This window comes from Homo sapiens, chromosome 15 (genome assembly GCF_000001405.40).
Source record: "Homo sapiens chromosome 15, GRCh38.p14 Primary Assembly".
NCBI lineage: Eukaryota > Metazoa > Chordata > Mammalia > Primates > Hominidae > Homo > Homo sapiens.
In genome coordinates, this window is record NC_000015.10 from 100573330 (window position 1) to 100593324 (window position 19995).

Below are 19995 nucleotides of genomic sequence, written 5' to 3' on the forward strand. Positions count from 1 at the left end.
ATTAATATAAATAAAATGCTGTAAATACTTGAATATGAATTGATTTCCATCACTTACTTTGAGATGACTCAACAGCAACTTTTTTAAACCTAAATCATTCCTTATGCTTTACAAATTCATTGTAGGCACAAAAAGCTGACATGTTTCTTAAAGGTAAATCCAGTTCTTTTTTTTTTTTTTGAAAATGTAATAAGTTACAAATAGGATAACATACAGCTTAAATTACTGGAATTTAAACTAGTCCTGAGATTTGATAATTATGAATTACTGTACTTAAGTAAATAATTACACACTGCATACAAAAGGAGTTTGGAGAATTACCTTTCACTTCACTTGCTGAAGAATAATTTTGAAACTTGATTTCTAAGGATTTCATTATAACTAAGCTTGCTGCTCTAAGGATCACATGATCTGGACTAGTGATAAGTTCACATTCAGGTTGAACTTCATCACCTCCAAAAAAGGAATGTTTTTCATAAACAGACAGTGTCTTCAACAACCCCGAATTCACAGCTTGCAAAACAGCATTAGCTAAAGCCAGCATGTCCACCGCTACATGATGGTCTGGCGGCATTAAGGCAGGCACAGATCCACGACAGAGGTCTTCACCCACTTTACAGAGAAGGCACTTTTTGAGGAATATGATGACCTTCCTTTTAACAAAAGCCTGAATAGGCCAGGTAATAACTTCTAGCATGCAAGATGGTTTCAAAAATAAAATCCTCTGGCAAGTGAAATGTAACTTCAGGTGGATTCTGGAGGCGATGAGAAGCTCAAGCAAATCCAGGAAACACATCAGGATGTTTACTATTTTAGAAGTATCCCGGCAGTTTTCAAAATGCTGAGAGAATAAGGAATTGTAAAACACTTCAAAAATGGTGTCGAAATGAGTCAGGAACTGCTTTAGAATTTCTGCAATTATAAAAATAGGAATTATAAACAGGAAAAACAGTCTTCTTCAAACAATTTTACAATTCACTTTTTATAAATATCACTTTTTAAGATGAAAAAACAGATTTGGAATGTTTACCTCTAACATTAACAAATGAGGTTACACAGATTAATGGGTAAGAACCACGGTTAAAATTCATTTTATGGCTGGGTGTGGTGGCTCACAACTGTAATCCCAGCACTTCGGGAGGCCGATGCGGGTGGATCACTTGAGGTCAGGAGTTTGAGACCAGCCTGGCCAACATGGTAAAACCCTGTGTCTACTAAAAATACAGAAATTAGCTGGGTGTGGTGGTGAGCGCCTGTAATCCCAGCTACTCGGGAGGCTGAGGCAGAAGAATCACTTGAACTCGCAAGGCAGGGGTTGCAGTGAGCCAAGATCATGCCATTGCACTCCAGCCTGGGCAACAAAGCAAGACTTGTCTCAAAAAAATAAAACAAAACAAAACAAAAAATATTCATTTTACGAATATCAGTAACATCAAACAATGCAAGGGATTTGTGCTCATGAAAAGCTTTACTTTTTTCCTTATACTTTTTTTTCTTTTAAAACAGGTTATCCTCAATCAAAATATATTGGAAGAGACTGACTTTTTCATTACTTTAAGACAGATCAGATGTTCCAAATTAAGTTTTGTTTCTCATTATAAATGCAACGCTCCCAGGAGCAAGATGATGATTGTTTATGGGGCCATGTAATCCATACCTGTTTTCTGTGAACATGAATCTTTAAAGATTTCTTTTATTATTGCTGTAAGAGTCCAGAGGCAGTATATTGCTTTATTACTCTCAGAGTATTCAGAAAGATTTTTCTGGCAAAAAGCAATCCAGGAATTACTTAAGGTTATCTACAAGTGAGAAAATAAAGCAAGCAGTTAAAATACAATATTTTCTTTACATAATACAACTGTATACAACATTGTTTATACATTTGGCCAAAAGAAGTATGATAATATGTGGCACACCGAGAAGGAACAGAAGTATCCTAATATTATTTAAGTAAAAAAATCGAATATGCCACAGAAATAAAATAAAGGGATGGAGGAAGATCTACCAAGCAAATGGAAAACAAAAAAAGGCAGGGGTTGCAATCCTAGTCTCTGATAAAACAGACTTTAAACCAACAAACATCAAAAGAGACAAAGAAGACCATTACATAATGGTACAGGGATCAATTCAACAAGAAGAGCTAACTATCCTAAATATATATGCACCCAATACAAGAGCACCCAGATTCATAAAGCAACTCCTTAGAGACCTACAAAGAGACTTAGACTCCCACACAATAATAATGGGAGACTTTAACACCCCACTGTCAACATTAGACAGAACAACGAGACAGAAAGTTAACAAGGATATCCAGGAATTGAATTCAGCTCTGCACCAAGCAGACCTAATAGACATCTACAGAACTCTCCAACCCAAATCAACAGAATATACATTCTTCTCAGCACCACACCACACCTATTCCAAAATTGACCACATAGTTGGAAGTAAAGCACTCCTCAGCAAATGTAAAAGAACAGAAATCACAACAAACTGTCTCTCAGACCACAGTGCAATCAAACTAGAACTCAGGATTAAGAAACTCACTCAAAACCATTCAACTACATGGAAACTGAACAACCTGCTCCTGAATGACTACTGGGTACATAATGAAATGAAGGCAGAAATAAAGATGTTCTTTGAAACCAACAAGAACAAAGACACAACATACCAGAATCTCTGGGACACATTTAAAGCAGTACGTAGAGGGAAATTTACAGCACTAAATGCCCACAAGAGAAAGCAGGAAAGATCTAAAATTGACACCCTAACATCACAATTAAAAGAACTAGAGAAGCAAGAGCAAACACATTCAAAAGCTAGCAGAAGGCAAGAAATAACTAAGATCAGAGCAGAACTGAAGGAGATAGAGACACAAAAAACCCTTCAAAAAATCAATGAATCCAGGAGCTGGTTTTTTGAAAAGACCAACAAAATTGATAAACCGTTAGCAAGACTAATAAAGAAGAAAAGAGAGAAGAATCAAATAGACGCAATAAAAAATGATAAAGGGAGTATCACCACTGATTCCATAGAAATACAAACTACCATCAGAGAATACTATAAATACCTCTATGCAAATAAAGTAGAAAATCTAGAAGAAATGGATAAATTCCTGGACACATACACCCTCCCAAGACTAAACCAGGAAGAAGCTGAATCTCTTAATAGACCAATAATAGGCTCTTAAATTGAGGCAATAATAATAGCTTACCAACCAAAAAAAGCCCAGGACCAGATGGATTCACAGCCGAATTCTACCAGACGTACAAGGAAGAGCTGGTACCATTCCTTCTGAAACTATTCCAATCAACAGAAAAAGAGGGAATCCTCCCTAACTCATTTTATGAGGACAGCATCATCCTGATACCAAAGCCTGGCAGAGACACAACAAAAAAAGAGAATTTTAGACCAATATCCCTGATGAACATCGATGAGAAAATCCTCAGTAAAATACTGGCAAAACCAAATCCGGCAGCACATCAAAAAGCTTATCCACCATGATCAAGTGGGCTTCATCCCTGGGACGCAAGGCTGGTTCAACATATGCAAATCAGTAAATGTAATCCATCATATAAACAGAACCAAAGACAAAAACCACATGATTATCTCAATAGATGCAGAAAAGGCCTTTGACAAAATTCAACAACCCTTCATGCTAAAAAACTCTCAATAAATTAGGTACTGATGGGACGTATCTAAAAATAATAAGAGCTATTTATGACAAACCCACAGCCAATATCATACTGAATGGGCAAAAACTGGAAGCATTCCCTTTGAAAACTGGCACAAGACAGGGATGCCCTCTTTCACCACTCCTATTCAACAGAGTGTTGGAAATTCTGGCCAGGGCAATTAGGCAGGAGAAAGAAACAAAGGGTATTCAACTAGGAAAAGAGGAAGTCAAATTGTCCCTGTTTGCAGATGACATGATTGTATATCTAGAAAACCCCATCGTCTCAGCCCAAAATCTCCTTAAGCTGATAAGCACCTTCAGCAAAGTCTCAGGATACAAAATCAATGTGCAAAAATCACAAGCATTCTTATACACCAATAACAGACAAACAGCCAAATCATGAGTGAACTCCCATTCACAATTGCTTCAAAGAGAATAAAATACCTAGGAATCCAACTTACAAGGGATGTGAAGGACCTCTTCAAGGAGAACTACAAACCACTGCTCAACGAAGTAAAAGAGGACACAAACAAATGGAAGAACATTCCATGCTCATGGATAGGAAGAATCAATATTGTGAAAATGGCCATACTGCCCAAGGTAGTTTATAGATTCAATGCCATCCCCATCAAGCTACCAATGGCTTTCTTCACAGAATTGGAAAAAACTACTTTAAAGTTCATATGGAACCAAAAAAGAGCCTGCATTGCCAAGTCAATCCTAAGCCAAAAGAACAAAGCTGGAGGCATCACGCTACCTGACTTCCAACTATACTACAAGGCTACAGTAACCAAAACAACATGGTACTCGTACCAAAACAGAGATACAGACCAATGGAACAGAACAGAGCCCTCAGAAATAATGCCACACATCTACAACCATCTGATCTTTGACAACCCTGACAAAAACAAGAAATGGGGAAAGGATTCCCTATTTAACAAATGGTGCTGGGAAAACTGGCTAGCCATATGTAGAAAGCTGAAACTGGATCTCTTCCTTATACCTTATACAAAAATTAATTCAAGATGGATTAAAGACTTATATGTTAGACTTAAAACCATAAAAACCCTAGAAGAAAACCTAGGCAATACCATTCAGGACATAGGCATGGGCAAGGACTTCATGTCTAAAACACCAAAAGCAATGGCAACAAAAGCCAAAATAGAGAAATGGGATCTAATTAAACTAAAGAGCTTCTGCACAGCAAAAGAAACTACCATCAGAGTGAACAGACAACCTACAAAATGGGAGAAAATTTTTGCAATCTACTCATCTGACAAAGGGCTAATATCCAGAATCTACAAATAACTCAAACAAATTTACAAGAAAAAAACAAACAACCTCATCAAAAAGTGGGCAAAGGATATGAACAGACACTTCTCAAAAGAAGACATTTATGCAGCCAACAGACACATGAAAAAATGCTCATCATCACTGGCCATCAGAGAAATGCAAATCAAAACCACAGTGAGATACCATCTCACACCAGTTAGAATGGCGATCATTAAAAAGTCAGGAAACAACAGGTGCTGGAGAGGATGGGGAAAAATAGGAACACTTTTACACTGTTGGTGGGACTGTAAACTAGTTCAACCAGCGTGGAAGACAGTGTGGCGATTCCTCAGGGATCTAGAGCTAGAAATACCATTTGACCCAGCCATCCCATTACTGGGTATATACCCAAAGGAATATAAATCATGCTGCTATAAAGACACATGCACACATATGTTTATTGTGGCACTACTCACAATAGCAAAGACTTGGAACCAACCCAAATGTCCAACAATGATAGACTGGATTAAGAAAATGTGGCACATATACACCATGGAATACTATGCAGCCATAAAAAATGATGAGTTCATGTCCTTTGTAGGGACATGGATGAAGCTGGAAACCATCATTCTCAGCAAGCTATCACAAGAACAAAAAACCAAACACCGCATATTCTCACTCATAGGTGGGAACTGAACAATGACAACACTTGAACACAGGAAGGGGAACATCACACACCAGGGCCTGTTGTGGGGTAGGGGGAGGGGGAAGGGATAGCATTAGGAGATACACCTAATGTAAATGACGAGTTAATGGGTGCAGCACACCAACATGGCACATGTATACATATGTAACAAACCTGCACGTTGTGCACATGTACCCTAGAACTTAAAGTATAATAAAAATATATATATAAAAAAATAAAAAACTAAAAATAAAAATGAGCCAGTGATAACCACAAAAAAACCATGTCTTGGTAAAAAGATACTTTACATAATTGATGTTCACTTCAAAATCTCCTCTTAGGTAGACTATAACAATTCAGATTACTACTGGATTCTAAGTTTCAAGAAAGCAAAGACTGTGGCCCCTTTACTTCAACATTTTATCTTTATACCTTTAACTTATTTTTTTTTTAATTACTGCACTAGCCAGAACTTCCACAGTAATGCTGAATAAAAATTATGACAGTAAAGAAAAAAAAAAGAAAATAAAAATGAAAGATGAAAATGTTAGCAGTGTTATCTCTAAGTAGTGAATTTTTCATTTTAATTTGCTCTTTATACTTTGTCTATTTTCCAAATTTTCTACTGTAATATCACTTTTTATATTCAGAAAAGTTATTGAAAGAAGCAAGAGATTATAGTTGAAAAGTCAGTAGATATTTCATTTGTTTATTAACTAATTCAGAGATAAGAGAAAAACTCAACTCTGAATTTATTTATACTGTTTTATATTATGCTGAGGACTGTTGTTAGAATTTACATTAAACCTGTGAAAATAGGCTTGTTCTCAACTGGTGGTTCCTAAATCTTTTTAGGGGGAAGGGGTCCACCTACTAGTTCGAGAATCTGCAGAAAGTTATGGAGTCTGATGTGAAATTCACCTCTCAGGTTAAGAATCTGATTATGATTGACAACACATTTAAGACTCTAATCCTTGACACAAATCATCATATTCTATTCTTAAATTTTTATGGCTTTACATATGTTATTATGTGAGCAAATGTCTTATTAATACAAATATCTGAAGGGTAAAAATCAAATGTCAAAGAGCAATTTTAAAGAAACTATAAGAGAAACAGGTTAGGTGCCACGGCTCTCGTCTTTAATCCCAGCACTTTGGGAGGCTGAGGCAGGAGGATTGCTTGAGCCCAGAAGTTTGAGATCAGATTGGGCAACACAGTGAGACCTTGTCTCCACAAAACATTTAAATTTAAAAAAAATTAAGAAAGAGAAATAATAACATACTTTGATTACTTATCTTACCTTTTCTCTCAATTGGAAATATAGAAGCAATGCAAGGCACTGTGCAGCCATGTGAGATAACAATTTATCTGAATTTTGGAACATGCAGATCTACAGGAAAACAAATATAATTAACCACTATTGCTGAATGTTCTTAAAATTATTTTAAATATCTACATCTTTAGAAAAACAAATGGCTTACTAATTTAGAATCGACTTTGGCTGATTCTAAGAGAATTTTAATTACATCTCTGTACTGCTCCTTTGCATGGAACTCGGTTTTGACAGACAATATCCGGGTTGTCATCACTTTGATCACTGTTAACTGAAGGAGCATTACTTCTCTGGAACCGCTCATCTGAGAGTTGGTCTTCAAACACACAGGTGCTACAGCAATGGGAGCCACACCAACAGAGATGGGCTGATGCCTGCCCTGGATACCACAGGTGTTTGCCCATTCTAAGGAGGTGGCTGTAGAACAATCTTGATCTGAAACTGCTGGGTTGAGATAAAAGATGTAATCATGGCTGTCATTTTCAAGTGTGGCTCCAAGAAGTACCTTCTTGTATAACTCTTCTAAAACTTCACAGAAAACTTTCATTTTGACTTCCAAAATGTATCTTATAAGAAGGTCGACAACTCCAAGTTGTAAACATTAAATCTCAGAAGTGCAATGAATCTCTAAGAAGTTTCTTCAGTGAAACCTAAAATAGGAAAAATAATTTAAAAATTCTAACTGCTATATGCTTATTACAAGAGAAAGCAACTGTTTCCACTTAATCACTAAGTCTCTCAAGTTAAAGGGGATGCTGACTGCTTAATTTCTAAAATGGAAAATTGTAACAGGAACATTATTTCAAGACCGTAACAATGAAATGTATGCTTTCCACACAGATTTGAGAGCATAAAATTAGGTTTAATTTTAACGCAGCAGAAACTTGAGCTTTCCTCTAACAGTTTTCAATGGCTATCAGGGTTTCTTAACTTTGGCACTATTAATATTTGGAGCCAGATAACTTTGTAGTGGGGAGCTGTTTTGTGTATTATAAGATGTTTGGCAGCATTCCTGACCTCTACCTTCTACATGCCCAAAGCACTTCCCACCTGACCTGCCAGATTTTGACAACCAAAAAATGTCTGCAGACATTGTCAAATGTCCCCTGGGGGACAAAATCACTCCAGTTGAGAACCACTGAGCTAATTCAAATTCATTAACCTTCACCTCCAATTTATAGATAAAAATTTAAAGTTAGACTGCTATATGGTCAAACTAGATTATGGCTATTGCCAATGAAATTCCAACTTAAAATGGATCAACATCAGAAGCAGCAAGTAGTTACTATAGAGGGAGTATGGCAAGGAAAAACTTAGGACTTTGGCATAGGCAAAAGAGATTACTGAATATCATGACAATGGAATGCTGGAGCCTCTGGGAACAATCTGACCCTGGGAAGGAGGGGGGTTTTGCTCCTTTCATTGCCTTTGAAATATTTCACACCTCAAATAATTCTTGTCCACAGATCTGTGAAGAACTGTCTGATAAAGAGGCAACCCTCTCCCCAGTGGGAAAAATCAGTTTTGCTTCCACCTGTAAACTCATTTTAACATTCCTTCACCCTACATAGTTCATGGTTTTCTTACTGCTCCTTTAAACAGGTTGTGCCTGGTTCCCTTAGTAATAAGGTAAATAAAATCTTTGATACTTGGTCATTTTATATGGGTTGTGATTTCACACTCTTGAAATTTACCCTTTAACAAAATTACAGACTTCTCTGCCCTGACCCGTTTATAGACACACTTCCCATCTTCAACTTCCAAAAGACTTCGGAAGTCTACCACTTACACTGGGTCTTCCATCTACAATATGGCCACTAGCCTAGTCTTGGTCTTACACTGGGTCTTCTGTCTACACTACGGCCCACCAGCCTAGTCTTGGTCTTACACTGGGTCTTCCGTCTACACTATGGCCACTAGCCTAGTCTTGGTCTTACACTGGGTCTTCTGTCTACACTATGGCCCACCAGCCAAGTCTTGGTCTTACACTGGGTCTTCCGTCTACACTATGGCCCACTAGCCTAGTCTTGGTCTTATACTGGTTCTTCCATCTACAACATGGCCCACTAGCCTAGTCTTGGTCTTACACTGGGTCTTCCATCTACACTATGGCCCACTAGCCTAGTCTTGGTCTTATACTGGGTCTTCCATCTACACTATGGCCACTAGCCTAGTCTTGGTCTTACATTGGGTCTTCTGTCTACACTATGGCCCACCAGCCTAGTCTTGGTCTTACACTGGGTCTTCCGTCTACACTATGGCCCACTAGCCTAGTCTTGGTCTTATACTGGGTCTTCCATCTACAACATGGCCCACTAGCCTAGTCTTGGTCTTACACTGGGTCTTCCATCTACACTATGGCCCACTAGCCTAGTCTTGGTCTTATACTGGGTCTTCCATCTACACTATGGCCCACTAGCCTAGTCTTGGTCTTATACTGGGTCTTCCATCTACAACATGGCCCACTAGCCTAGTCTTGGTCTTACACTGGGTCTTCCATCTACACTACGGCCCACTAGCCTAGTCTTGGTCTTAACATGGCCCACTAGCCTAGTCTTGGTCTTACACTGGGTCTTCCATCTACACTACGGCCCACTAGCCTAGTCTTGGTCTTATACTGGGTCTTCCATCTACACTATGGCCCACTAGCCTAGTCTTGGTCTTACACTGGGTCTTCCATCTACACTACGGCCCACTAGCCTAGTCTTGCTCTTACACTGGGTCTTCTGTCTACACTACGGCCCACCAGCCTAGTCTTGGTCTTACACTGGGTCTTCCGTCTACACTATGGCCTACTAGCCTAGTCTTGGTCTTATACTGGGTCTTCCATCTACAACATGGCCCACTAGCCTAGTCTTGGTCTTACACTGGGTCTTCCATCTACAACATGGCCCACTAGCCTAGTCTTGGTCTTACACTGGGTCTTCCATCTACACTATGGCCCACTAGCCTAGTCTTGGTCTTATACTGGGTCTTCCGTCTACAATATGGCCCACTAGCCTAGTCTTGGTCTTTAATGGCTGGCTTCTTCCCCTGATTTAGCCTGAGTTTCAATTGTTGATTACTCCACAACACAAAGCTGCCCTGTTTTAGTCCTTTCATGGAGAAATAAATATTAAGAAACCTATAGATTTTAAAGTTATGAATGAAACTTTTGATAAGTTTTCTCTGAATCACACTTTCAACCTGTGGTATGCATCCCATATGATTGATTAATACAAATGTTGGTAATGTTGTTCTATCTGACAGTGTTATACTTTATCTCAGCCCTGCGTGCTCTCAGAAGGCCAGAATGGAAAAGCACCATACCCTTTTTTATTCCAAGAAAGGGTTAACCAGAAAGGACCAACCTACTGTCTACAATTCCCAAATAGGACCTACTTCTACCCTTCCTCAGTGACTCCCTTGTTTTATTAATCCCTACCTTTTCTCCTTCCTCTTCAAGAGGTTTCCCATTATGAACACTCTCCCTATTGCAACTGCCTGAACAAAATAATCTCCTTAATTGCCTGATATATTGTCTGTCACACATCAGAAATTAGTCTTCATGTTCCACCTCAAAGTCTAATTCCATTGCACTTACTTTATATTTTAGTTATAATAACATTTCTTTTCAAACTACTGACACTATAAGACAGAATATTTTGTTTTAATTACTATCACATGTTCAACTCTTTCAGTAAAAATTTCAGCAACAAATGGAATTATTTTTATTTATTATCCCTATTGCAACTGCCTGAACAAAATCTCCTTAATTGCCTGATATATTGTCTGTCACACATCAGAAATTAGTCTTCATGTTCCATCTCAAAGTCTAATTCCATTGCACTTACTTTATATTTTAGTTATAACATTTCTTTTCTAACTACTGTCACTATAAAACAGAATATTTTGTTTTAATTACTATCACATGCTCAACTCTTTTAGTAAAAATTTCAGCAACAAATGGAATTACTTTTATTTAAATGCTATAGCAATAAAAATACTTCCAATAATATTCCTATGGGTCACTAAGTCCTTAAATTTTACCAAAATGAAAATGAAATTGCTATCTGACCTAGTTTCAACCCATAAAAAGGGCAATTTCATATGGCTCAATCATTTTAGCACACCAACCAAAGTGAATGCCAGTAAATAAATATTCCAGGGAGTAGATGGGCTGTTTTCTCTCATGGTGGGACCCAGGTTCTTTGGTAAGAGTGATTGTGAGAAATTAGACTGAAAGGTTTTAAACTTTAAGAAATACAGATTCAAAATCAGCCTTTAGAGACAGAGGAAAAAAAAAAAGTATTGGGGTTATGAGAGGAAGAAATAAACTGTTTCTTCCACTATCCTCTTACAACATGCTTCTGACCATAGATATGTGAGGATTTCTCCCCACCAGCCAGCAAGCAAGCAAAGCAACTCTGCATAGACCATGACCTGGGCGTCCTCCAATTCAATTCTACATTATCTACCTGGGGATACCATCAGATCACACAGACTGAAGACTGAGCCACAATTCAAATGCCAACTGCAAGCCCCAGGATGTTCCACCTGTGCTTCTGATCAACTGGCTCTAAATTGGAGTTGCCCCGACTTCCCCTTTGGGTTTGATTAATATGTTACAGCAGCTCACAGAAATCAGGAAAACATAAGCATAAATTCTTCCTTTCCCCTACTCGACTGGCTAAGGACAAAAGAAGCCCACCCAGGCTCCAAATCCTGTCATTACAGTTCATGGCTGTCACTCTAGTGGAATGAGAAGCACGGGAAAGCATGGCATTATCAAATTATATGGATGTTAAAAGTTGGGGATTACACCCAGGTACCAAAGGAAAGCTCACAGTAAGCCATCGCCTCTGGAAGAAAAGTATGCAAAACAGCACCAGTGACCACCTAAGGTCAGAGACGTCTGACACTCTAAGATTGGACTCCAAAGGGGAACACCCCAGGGGGATCCTCTGGACCTCAGTCTCTACAAAGGGGATGCCCTTGGCAGAGGTTCTGAGGTCTAGTCCTAAACTCTTCTTAGAACCTTCTCTCGCAGTTGCAATGCTGTTTGGCCCCAATATTGTTTGGAATCTGGAGTTTGCTGTTGAATGGGAAAGTGGGATGGTGTTGCATGCATCCAGGCTTTTGTGCTGCTGTTCTGAGCAGGGGGCCTGGTTAACATGTGATGCTCTCGTTTGGAACTGTTTGGACCCAGTGTCCTTTGGAGTCTGGGGAGGTTTGGCCTTTAAAAATCAAACTGCCGTGGAAAATGTTTTACTCGAAATTTTGGTTCACAGCCTTCACTGGATTATCTATTGCGGCAAACAAAGTAAAACTGGCGAGCTTGTATTGCTATCTCATGGCTAGGGTTCCAAGCTATTGGATCTTCGTTCGTGTATGTGTACATGTACATGTCTAGACGTGTTTATTTGTATGTACACTTATTGTTATATGTTGTGTTTACTGAACTGACTTATAAGAGTGCTCATACATTAACTAAGTCTAAGCAATTTTTAAGTTCACATGACTTAAGTATAACTTTACTAAATAAGCTGGCTTTAAACTTATTGGTAAAATAAAAACAGAAGTGCCTTCAGAACCGTCAGCATACATTTTTTGTCTGGTTTTATGTTTGTCTTTGCTAGATATTTTGGGATGTCAGTGTTTGGCATAGAAGATTATTAAACTATAAACCCAGCCAAAACAAAATGATCTTGGTTTGCATGCCTTGTTTTTTTGACAAATCAGAGAAATCTGTGAAAGGAAAATATCTTGGGCCCCCAAAATCACTAAGCTCAAGGGAAAATTCAAGCTGGGAACTGCTTAGGGCAAATCTGTGTCCCATTTTATTCAAAGTCATCCTTCTGCTCATTAAGATAAATGCATATCTGACTGCCTCCTTTAGAAAGGCTAATCAGAAACTCAAGAGAATGCAACTGTTTGTCTCTCACCTACCTGTGACCTGGAAGCCCCCTCCCAGCTTAAGAGTTGTCCCACCTTTCTGGACTGAACCAATGTTCATTTTACATATCTTGATTGATGTCTCATGCCTCCCTTGTTAAAACTGAAAGAACAGAGCACAGTGAATGGGATAAGTGTTTTAAGTAAACTTTTTGTGTAAATTAAATGCTTTGAGCTATTTTTGATGCTCATTTAATATCTGGGTCATTTCCAATAAAGAAAGGATTGTGATATGGGGAAGTATGTTTCTAAATTGTGGAACTGTTCTTATTTATAAATGCCCACATCTTATGGTTCAGGATTTCTTGCTTTTTGGGGTTTCACACAAGTTTTAGGTTACTAAGAATTCTAGTTAACACATAATTCTGTAAACAAAATGTGCCAAAAAGTTTATATTACTAGTGAGAAAAATAATAATTTTGTCTAATTCAGAAGTTATCTAAAAGTTAGTTCAGATACAGATTTGAAAAGGTTATTTATGAAATACCATAGTAAGAAACCAGTAAGTAGCGGATAAACATGTGGAAAAAATTTATATAATAAAATATTATTTAAAACCTGACAGAGAATTGGAGACATTTGGCTAATTAATGTTTTCAGTTAAAGCTCTTAGTCTTGATTAAAATAAAGTAAGTATTGTAAAGAAATGTGGCCGGGTGCGGTGGCTCATGCCTGTAATCCCAGCAACTTGGGAGCCAAGGCGGGCAGATCACGAGGTCAGGAGATCGAGACCATCCTGGCCAAAATGGTAAAACCCTGTCTCTACTAAAAATACAAAAATTAGCTGGGCATGGTGGCCTGCGCCTGTACTCCCAGCCACTTGGGAGGCTGAGGCAGCAGAATCGCTTGAGCCCAGGAGGCAGAGGTTGCAGTGAGCCAAGATCACACCACTGTACTCCAGCCTGGCAATAGAGGGAGACTCTGTCTTAAAAAAAAAAAAAAAAAAAAAAAAACATTAGCAGTTTGGCAATTCTTTAATATAGTTAAGCCTGAAGCCGGATTTAGTGTGGAGCCAAATTTCACATACATGCTTGCATTGCTTCACACTATGTCTACTGTTTTGCATGGATAGTGCCGGCACTGAAGTACTTATATAGGTCATGTGCCTAGAGTGAATTTCTTGATTGCACAGGATGTATAATGATATTGGTGAACTTAAGGAAACTGAATTGTGTAATAGTAATAAAATATTCATTATGTGGGTTTTTTGGGGCCCTGGGTAACACTGTAGCCTCCAGGATAGACTCAGTGGGAAAATTTAGGGTTGGTTTTCTGTTTGTTTGTGCTTCCAGTTTTCATTCATTTGCTGTTTATTCTCCTCTGGGCTTTGCTCGTGTATGCATATATATAAAACCATGATTTTTTTAAGTTCCTAAGTGGAAGGCTTTTATTTGGTTCTGTGGATATTCTGTTTCCTATGTGTTTTTAGAAAGTCATCATTTGTCCCATTTATCCAGAATTCCTAGGCTACCTTTGTTGGGCCTGCAGGAATTAATGGAGCACACCAGCTTTTTAATCTTAAACTAACTTCTTTGGAGTTTAGGCTTCCTGATACTTTAAGTGTCTTGATTATACTTTTGTAAATAGAATTTGAGTAGTAATTCTCACTCTGCCTAATTTCTCCAAAATTTGAAGCTATTTGTGAATATTCTTAATTCATGGGAATGTGTTTGTTTGCATTACAGTTGACTAGGGTCACCAGGGCTGGTCAGGGAGAAAGAGCCCAGAAATCTGGCATGCCGGCAAAAGGGCAAGAATTTCTTAGTAGTCAGACACTGGCCTCTCTCAATTTGTGCCAAATGGTTAAATGAAAGGTAAATGTCACTGTTTATCTCCTCTATAAAGTTTTAATTAATACAAAAGGAATTCTGAGGCTGGTCTTAAGCTGTAGTGAATCTGGTGTGCTCTGTGTGTCTTCCTGTATTTTTCTGTCATAAAGAGGGGTACCCTAGGATAAAAAGCGTGTGTAGGGCCCCAAAAGCCCACTATTCAAGATGGCCCAGCCAATTGGTCAGTCATGTCCTTGGGAGCTTGACCTTGTAACTATGTGGCTGTACTTTCTCTTTTCACAATGGTGGCCTGGGTTTAGGGTTCAATTCCTGGCTCAGGGAATGAATCCTTTATCTTCTGTGTATTTATATGTGTTGTGTGTATAATATAAAAGAGTTTTAATTAACTGGTTAATAATAAGAGCTTAAATCAAATATTTTGTCAGAAAAGTAAAAAGTGTAATGCCTTTCATTTAGTTCATGTGACTTAAGTAATCTGAGAAATAAAGACAGTTTTTAAAGATTATTGGTAAAATAAAAATATCTTCACAAATGTAAACATTTGGTCTAAATTATGCAGGTCAGATATTATGTTGACTAAATGCTTTAAGGTCACAAACTGCTTCTTTGACTTTTAAAAATTGCTTAATTTATTCTGGAGCATTAGATTCTAGATAAGTCTTGGGGACATGTGAAATTAGCCATGCCCTCTAGCTATGCAAACAAGGTTTTATATAAGAAAGGATCTTGTATGATAAATTCTTGTCCTAAAGTAAAATAACTGCTTGTTTAAAAGAGGGGTGTTTAGGACAAGTCAGAAAGTCCAAGCATGTGATAGATGGTCTGTGTAAGTCATGAAATAATTTATGAAAAAGAATTTATGCAAGAAATGTTGTACAATTTAAAGGTGATTAGGCCTCCTAAATGCTTTGTAAATGCCACTGTGACTCTTAACTGTACAATTTGCCTGTTTTACAGCTAGGTAGGGCCCGGGACACATGGAGTTAGATGCTAGAAAAAGTCAGACTTTATCTGCATTTCTTTCTGGGTTCTAGGCTTCTCCACATCTAGTACTTAATTAAAACCCCAAACTTATCAAGGTTTTCACCAAAAGTAAAAGTTGCTAAGAGTTAACATTGTAACATGTAACTGAGACTACTGAAGAAACAGTTTTACATGCAAGGTGTGTAAGAAAAGTGAAAGGTGTTGTTGGTAAAAGACTATAAGAAAGCATGGGAATGTACATTTTTGCCTAATTTAAAGGGTTAAACCACAGAAATAACCAAATTTCCTTGTATAAAGCTGCTAACCCAAGTAGAACAAGAATTAAGTACCAAGAAAATACTTTTTGTCAGATTTTCATGTTAAATCAGCTGATACTGAAATTGTTTTAGATACATATTTTGAATGAACTCCACGATCTAAGTCAATTTACCTATGATAACCCATCAGTTACCAGTGCTATGCACCTAATGTGGAGAAACAACTGGTATTCAAGAGGATATAAGTCTAATATTAATTAAGCATGGACTCATGGAGGACCAGGTTGGTCACCTTGTCCTTTCTGAGTCCTTAAAGCTTTTATTATTGAAAGTTCTGCATTCCATGACTCATCATAGAAAAGATAAAATGATCCAAATTGAATATATTGGTGTGGTGGCTTATAAATTACTGAAATACTTTATAGCCAATGTTTGGGCCCATATTCCTGGGAAAATAATCAAAGCTTCAGGTACATTTGGTCACCTGATGGGCCATTTAAGGGATTTTATTCAATTATTATTTTCAATGCATGTTTTCTGGTTATATAAAAGCTCTCCCATGCAAGAGGGCTCATGTTATAAAACTAAGTCATTACGCCACAGTGTATTTTCACTAGGTACAGAAAGCTTTTTATGGTTTGCTGAGGACAATCAACCCCTTCACAAATCTAGAGCCTAAAGATTAGATCTTCTGAGAACATTGGAGAAAGATTGTCCTTGCCATCCACATTGCAGCAAAACTTTGGAACCCTGAACTTTGGGTTCATAATCTCACAACTGAGGAGGGTCCCTCCACACTCTTGGAACTGTACACCCATAGGAACCCTTAAGGTAAAGCTAACCAAGGAAGTCGCTCCCCAGAAGAACATGGCATCCTTGATGTGAACAGCTTTTCCCAAGATCACAGATCAAGACTTCTACTATTATGAGAGTCTTATCTTTGAATATTTTTTGTTTATGCGTCCAAGAACAATAGAAATGAAAAGGGGGTCTGTTGTATGCACTTATGGGGTACACTTTTATTTGTGAAGGATTTTGCAGCCAGCCTCGTATATGAATAACCTTATACTTTGACAGATAAAAGATGAAGGTCCAATGCAGGTGAGAAATTTTAATGGTACACACATTGCCTCATCATCAGTCAGAAACAGAACATTGGTTCACTCCTCTTAACCCATATCCCAAGTTAAAGAGAACATTGCTAGGAGGCCTTCAATCTTCTAGAAGGGCATCATTTGTTAGGTCCTTTTTCCATGGCCCTTTTCCATTGCAAAAGAAGCAATGATTAGAAATGTTTCCCTCATGATAGGCTGTATAACAGATTCTTCTCTAAAGGCTACAGTTATGTAACAGACTTAAAATTCTCTTGTTAAAGTTATGATAGAATTGGCTGAACAGAGAAGTATCTGTGCAGCTGCTGGCACTTGTGGCCTATGGAGAAATACATCAAATGAAAAGTATAGAGATTCATCGTAGGGGATTAACAAAGAGATTGCTTGGTTAAATGAGTAGGCTCTTTATCTAGCTCATTCTTTGATCTATTTGATTTTAGGTGGTTTGGTTTATGGGAACCTAAGGGAAGAAGCATACTCCAAACTCTTGGTATTATCCTCCCAATAGTCATAACAATAGTCTCGGCCAGGCATGGTAGCTCATACCTTTAATCCCAGCACTTTGGGAGGCCGAGGCGGGCAGATCACCTGAGGACAGGAGTTTGAGACCAGCCTGGCCAACATGATAAACCCTGTCTCTACTAAAAATACAAAATTAGCCAGGCATGGTGGCACATGCCTGTAATCCCAGCTGCTCAGGAGGCTGAGGTGGGAGAATCACTTGAACCCGGGAGGCAGAGGTTGCAGTGAGCCAAGATCATGCCATTGCACTCCAGCCTGGGCGAAAAGAGCAAAACTCTGTCTCAAAAAATAAAATAGGAAAAAAAATAATAATAGTTTCCCTTGTGTGCTGTATTCTCTCAAAGGTTTTAAATGGTTGCACGCAGCCATCTCTAGAATGTCAAATGGTCTCTCTTCAACTGGAATGACAAGAGCTGAAAGAAATGTGTGAACATGAGGACACCATAACCTATGAATCATGCACTGACACCAGAAACCCAAAATGAAGGTAACTGAGAGTTGTGCTAAGGCCCTAAGTTTTGGTCACACTCTCACCTAAGTGAGAACGTGACCAAAAAGGGAGAATTTTTTAAAATAAAATTATGGAAGGCCATTGTTTTGGACTGAACTCATGCACTAGGCCCCAACAGACCAAACCAAACCAAACCAAAATGGAGTTGCTTGCATTAAGACGTTAAGGAAACACATAGATCCTAGAACAGACTAGGTTTTGTTTTTTTTCCGCAAATCTCTAGAAAACATTCCTGGCAGCATAGGTATCCACTCCCTGAAGTTCCCATTAAATCTTTTAACCAAATTCATTTCCTCTCGCCTAGAAACCATCAAGCTTCAGATGATCATGCAACAAAGGTTCCAGCCACTACCCCTGGCCATCAAGGAGCTACCCTGCCTCCACTAGACAGAGAGGGGCGAGAGTTCCATGATTCCCAATAGGTAGGGACTGTGCCCCAAGCCAGCATGAAGCAGTTACAGAAGATAGACCATTGGTCCCTCTGCTTCCATAAAGATTTATGGGGATCACATCTTTCTGGGGGGAAATGAGACAGAATAGGGTCTGGAGGCAGGGACATAGGCTAATTCACGCTGACTTCCTAGAACTAAATCAAATGGAAACACTTCATCTATGAAACATCCTCTCCATTTACATAGGGTGTACACTAAGTAAGTGACTTTACTTCACCCTCTTCATTTACATAGGGCATACACCAAGTAATCAATGGAAACCTCTAGAGGGTATGTAAACCTCAGAAAATTCTGTAACGGGGCTCTTGAGCCCCTATGCTTGGCCCACTCCCACCCTGTGGGGTGTACTTTCATTTTCAATAAATCTCTGCTTTTGTTGCTTCATTCTTTCTTTGCTTTGTTTGTATGTTTTGTGTGTCTTCCCTTGCTTCGTTTGTGCTTTCTTTGTTCAAGACGCCAAGAACCTGGACACCCATCAACTGATAACACTTTTGGATTTTTACGGAGGCTTCTTTACTTAGGCATGGTTGATTAAATCACTGGCCCTTGGTGATAGACTCAACCTTGAGTCCCTCTCCCCTTCCTGAGACTGGGGGTAGGGCTGAAAGTTCCAACTCTGAGCATAGGGCTGATTCCCTCCCTGCAGTGAGCACTCCATCCTGTAGCCATCTAGGTGGTCCAAAAAAATCACCTCATTAACATAACCTGGGGTGTGTGAAAAGTGTTTATTATAAATAACAAAACACTGCCTTTTACCTTTAGTGCTCTGAAGCTGTCTTGAGCTGCTTCAGGAACCCAGGACAAAAGGCCATATATATACTTTAACAAAAGATCAACTTATTGTTCTAGTCCCATAGGAAGTAATAGGCTTAAAGGAGATGGGCCTGTAATCTTAGATGGAAATCAAAAAATATTCATCTTAGTAATACAGGTCACAAATGCCAAGGGGCCAGGCAGCTAATGAATGAATGACGACAATAGGTGCTAGGCTGTTTTATTGTGATCAAGTATAAACTCCTCTTAATTACACTGTCTTTAAAATAAATGTCCGTGGGTAGCCCATTGGAATTGAAAACTGTAGTTTGTATGTGTTTTTTAAAGCAATTGTGGTATTAAAGGAAAGGACAAATCCTTAAGAAAACAAACTAGGGGATTTAACTGACCACAATTTTTTCTGAAGTGGATGCTCTGAGGTTTGCACATCTCATTCTGCATTATCATGCTGGCCTGGGGGAATGTGTACTCTTCAGACAACAAGCTTTTAAGAGACACCAACAAACCCAAGTGTCTGACGGAGGGTGCACAGGATGCTGACAGGCTCTGAGGCCATCTATATGATAAATGAACGATTTCTCTAGCCTGGAAACAAACAATTGGGGCAGTCTTACTAGGTAAGTGAAGGAGCAGTGATTCTCTTAGTGTTTTCTCTTGGCAGAGGAGCTGAAATCCCACACCAAGTGGCCTAAG

The 19995-nt window shown here is 38.6% G+C and overlaps 1 protein-coding gene across 16 annotated transcripts in view, besides 1 other annotated feature; it reads right to left on the bottom strand.

Annotated features, from left to right (window-relative positions):
• The window catches only part of LINS1 (lines homolog 1), a 35261-nt gene that overhangs the window by 6406 nt on the left and 8860 nt on the right, over positions 1 to 19995 (bottom strand). For 10 of the 16 annotated variants that reach the window (XR_007064471.1, NR_148018.2, NR_148017.2 and 7 more), the window contains exons 2-5: positions 7115 to 7616; positions 6934 to 7023; positions 1658 to 1799; positions 322 to 912 (exon numbers count right to left, since the gene is read on the bottom strand). Coding sequence is in view for 11 of the 16 variants with exons in the window: in XM_005254943.3 (XP_005255000.1) it covers positions 322 to 912; positions 1658 to 1799; positions 6934 to 7023; positions 7115 to 7513 (1222 nt within the window). In the remaining 5 variants the exon portion in view is untranslated. Of the gene's footprint in view, positions 1 to 321; positions 913 to 1657; positions 1800 to 3211; positions 3374 to 6933; positions 7024 to 7114; positions 7617 to 12894; positions 13848 to 19995 lie in introns of those variants that run through there. The other 6 variants (XM_047432785.1, XM_024449980.2, XM_047432787.1 and 3 more) reach the window with 4 other exon arrangements.
• Positions 15421 to 15621: a silencer, noted in NCBI's record as "peak2454 fragment used in MPRA reporter construct". NCBI's record gives its function as "represses an SCP1 promoter by STARR-seq MPRAs in K562 erythroleukemia cells {active_cell/tissue: K562}" and the evidence as "EXISTENCE:reporter gene assay evidence [ECO:0000049][PMID:32103011]".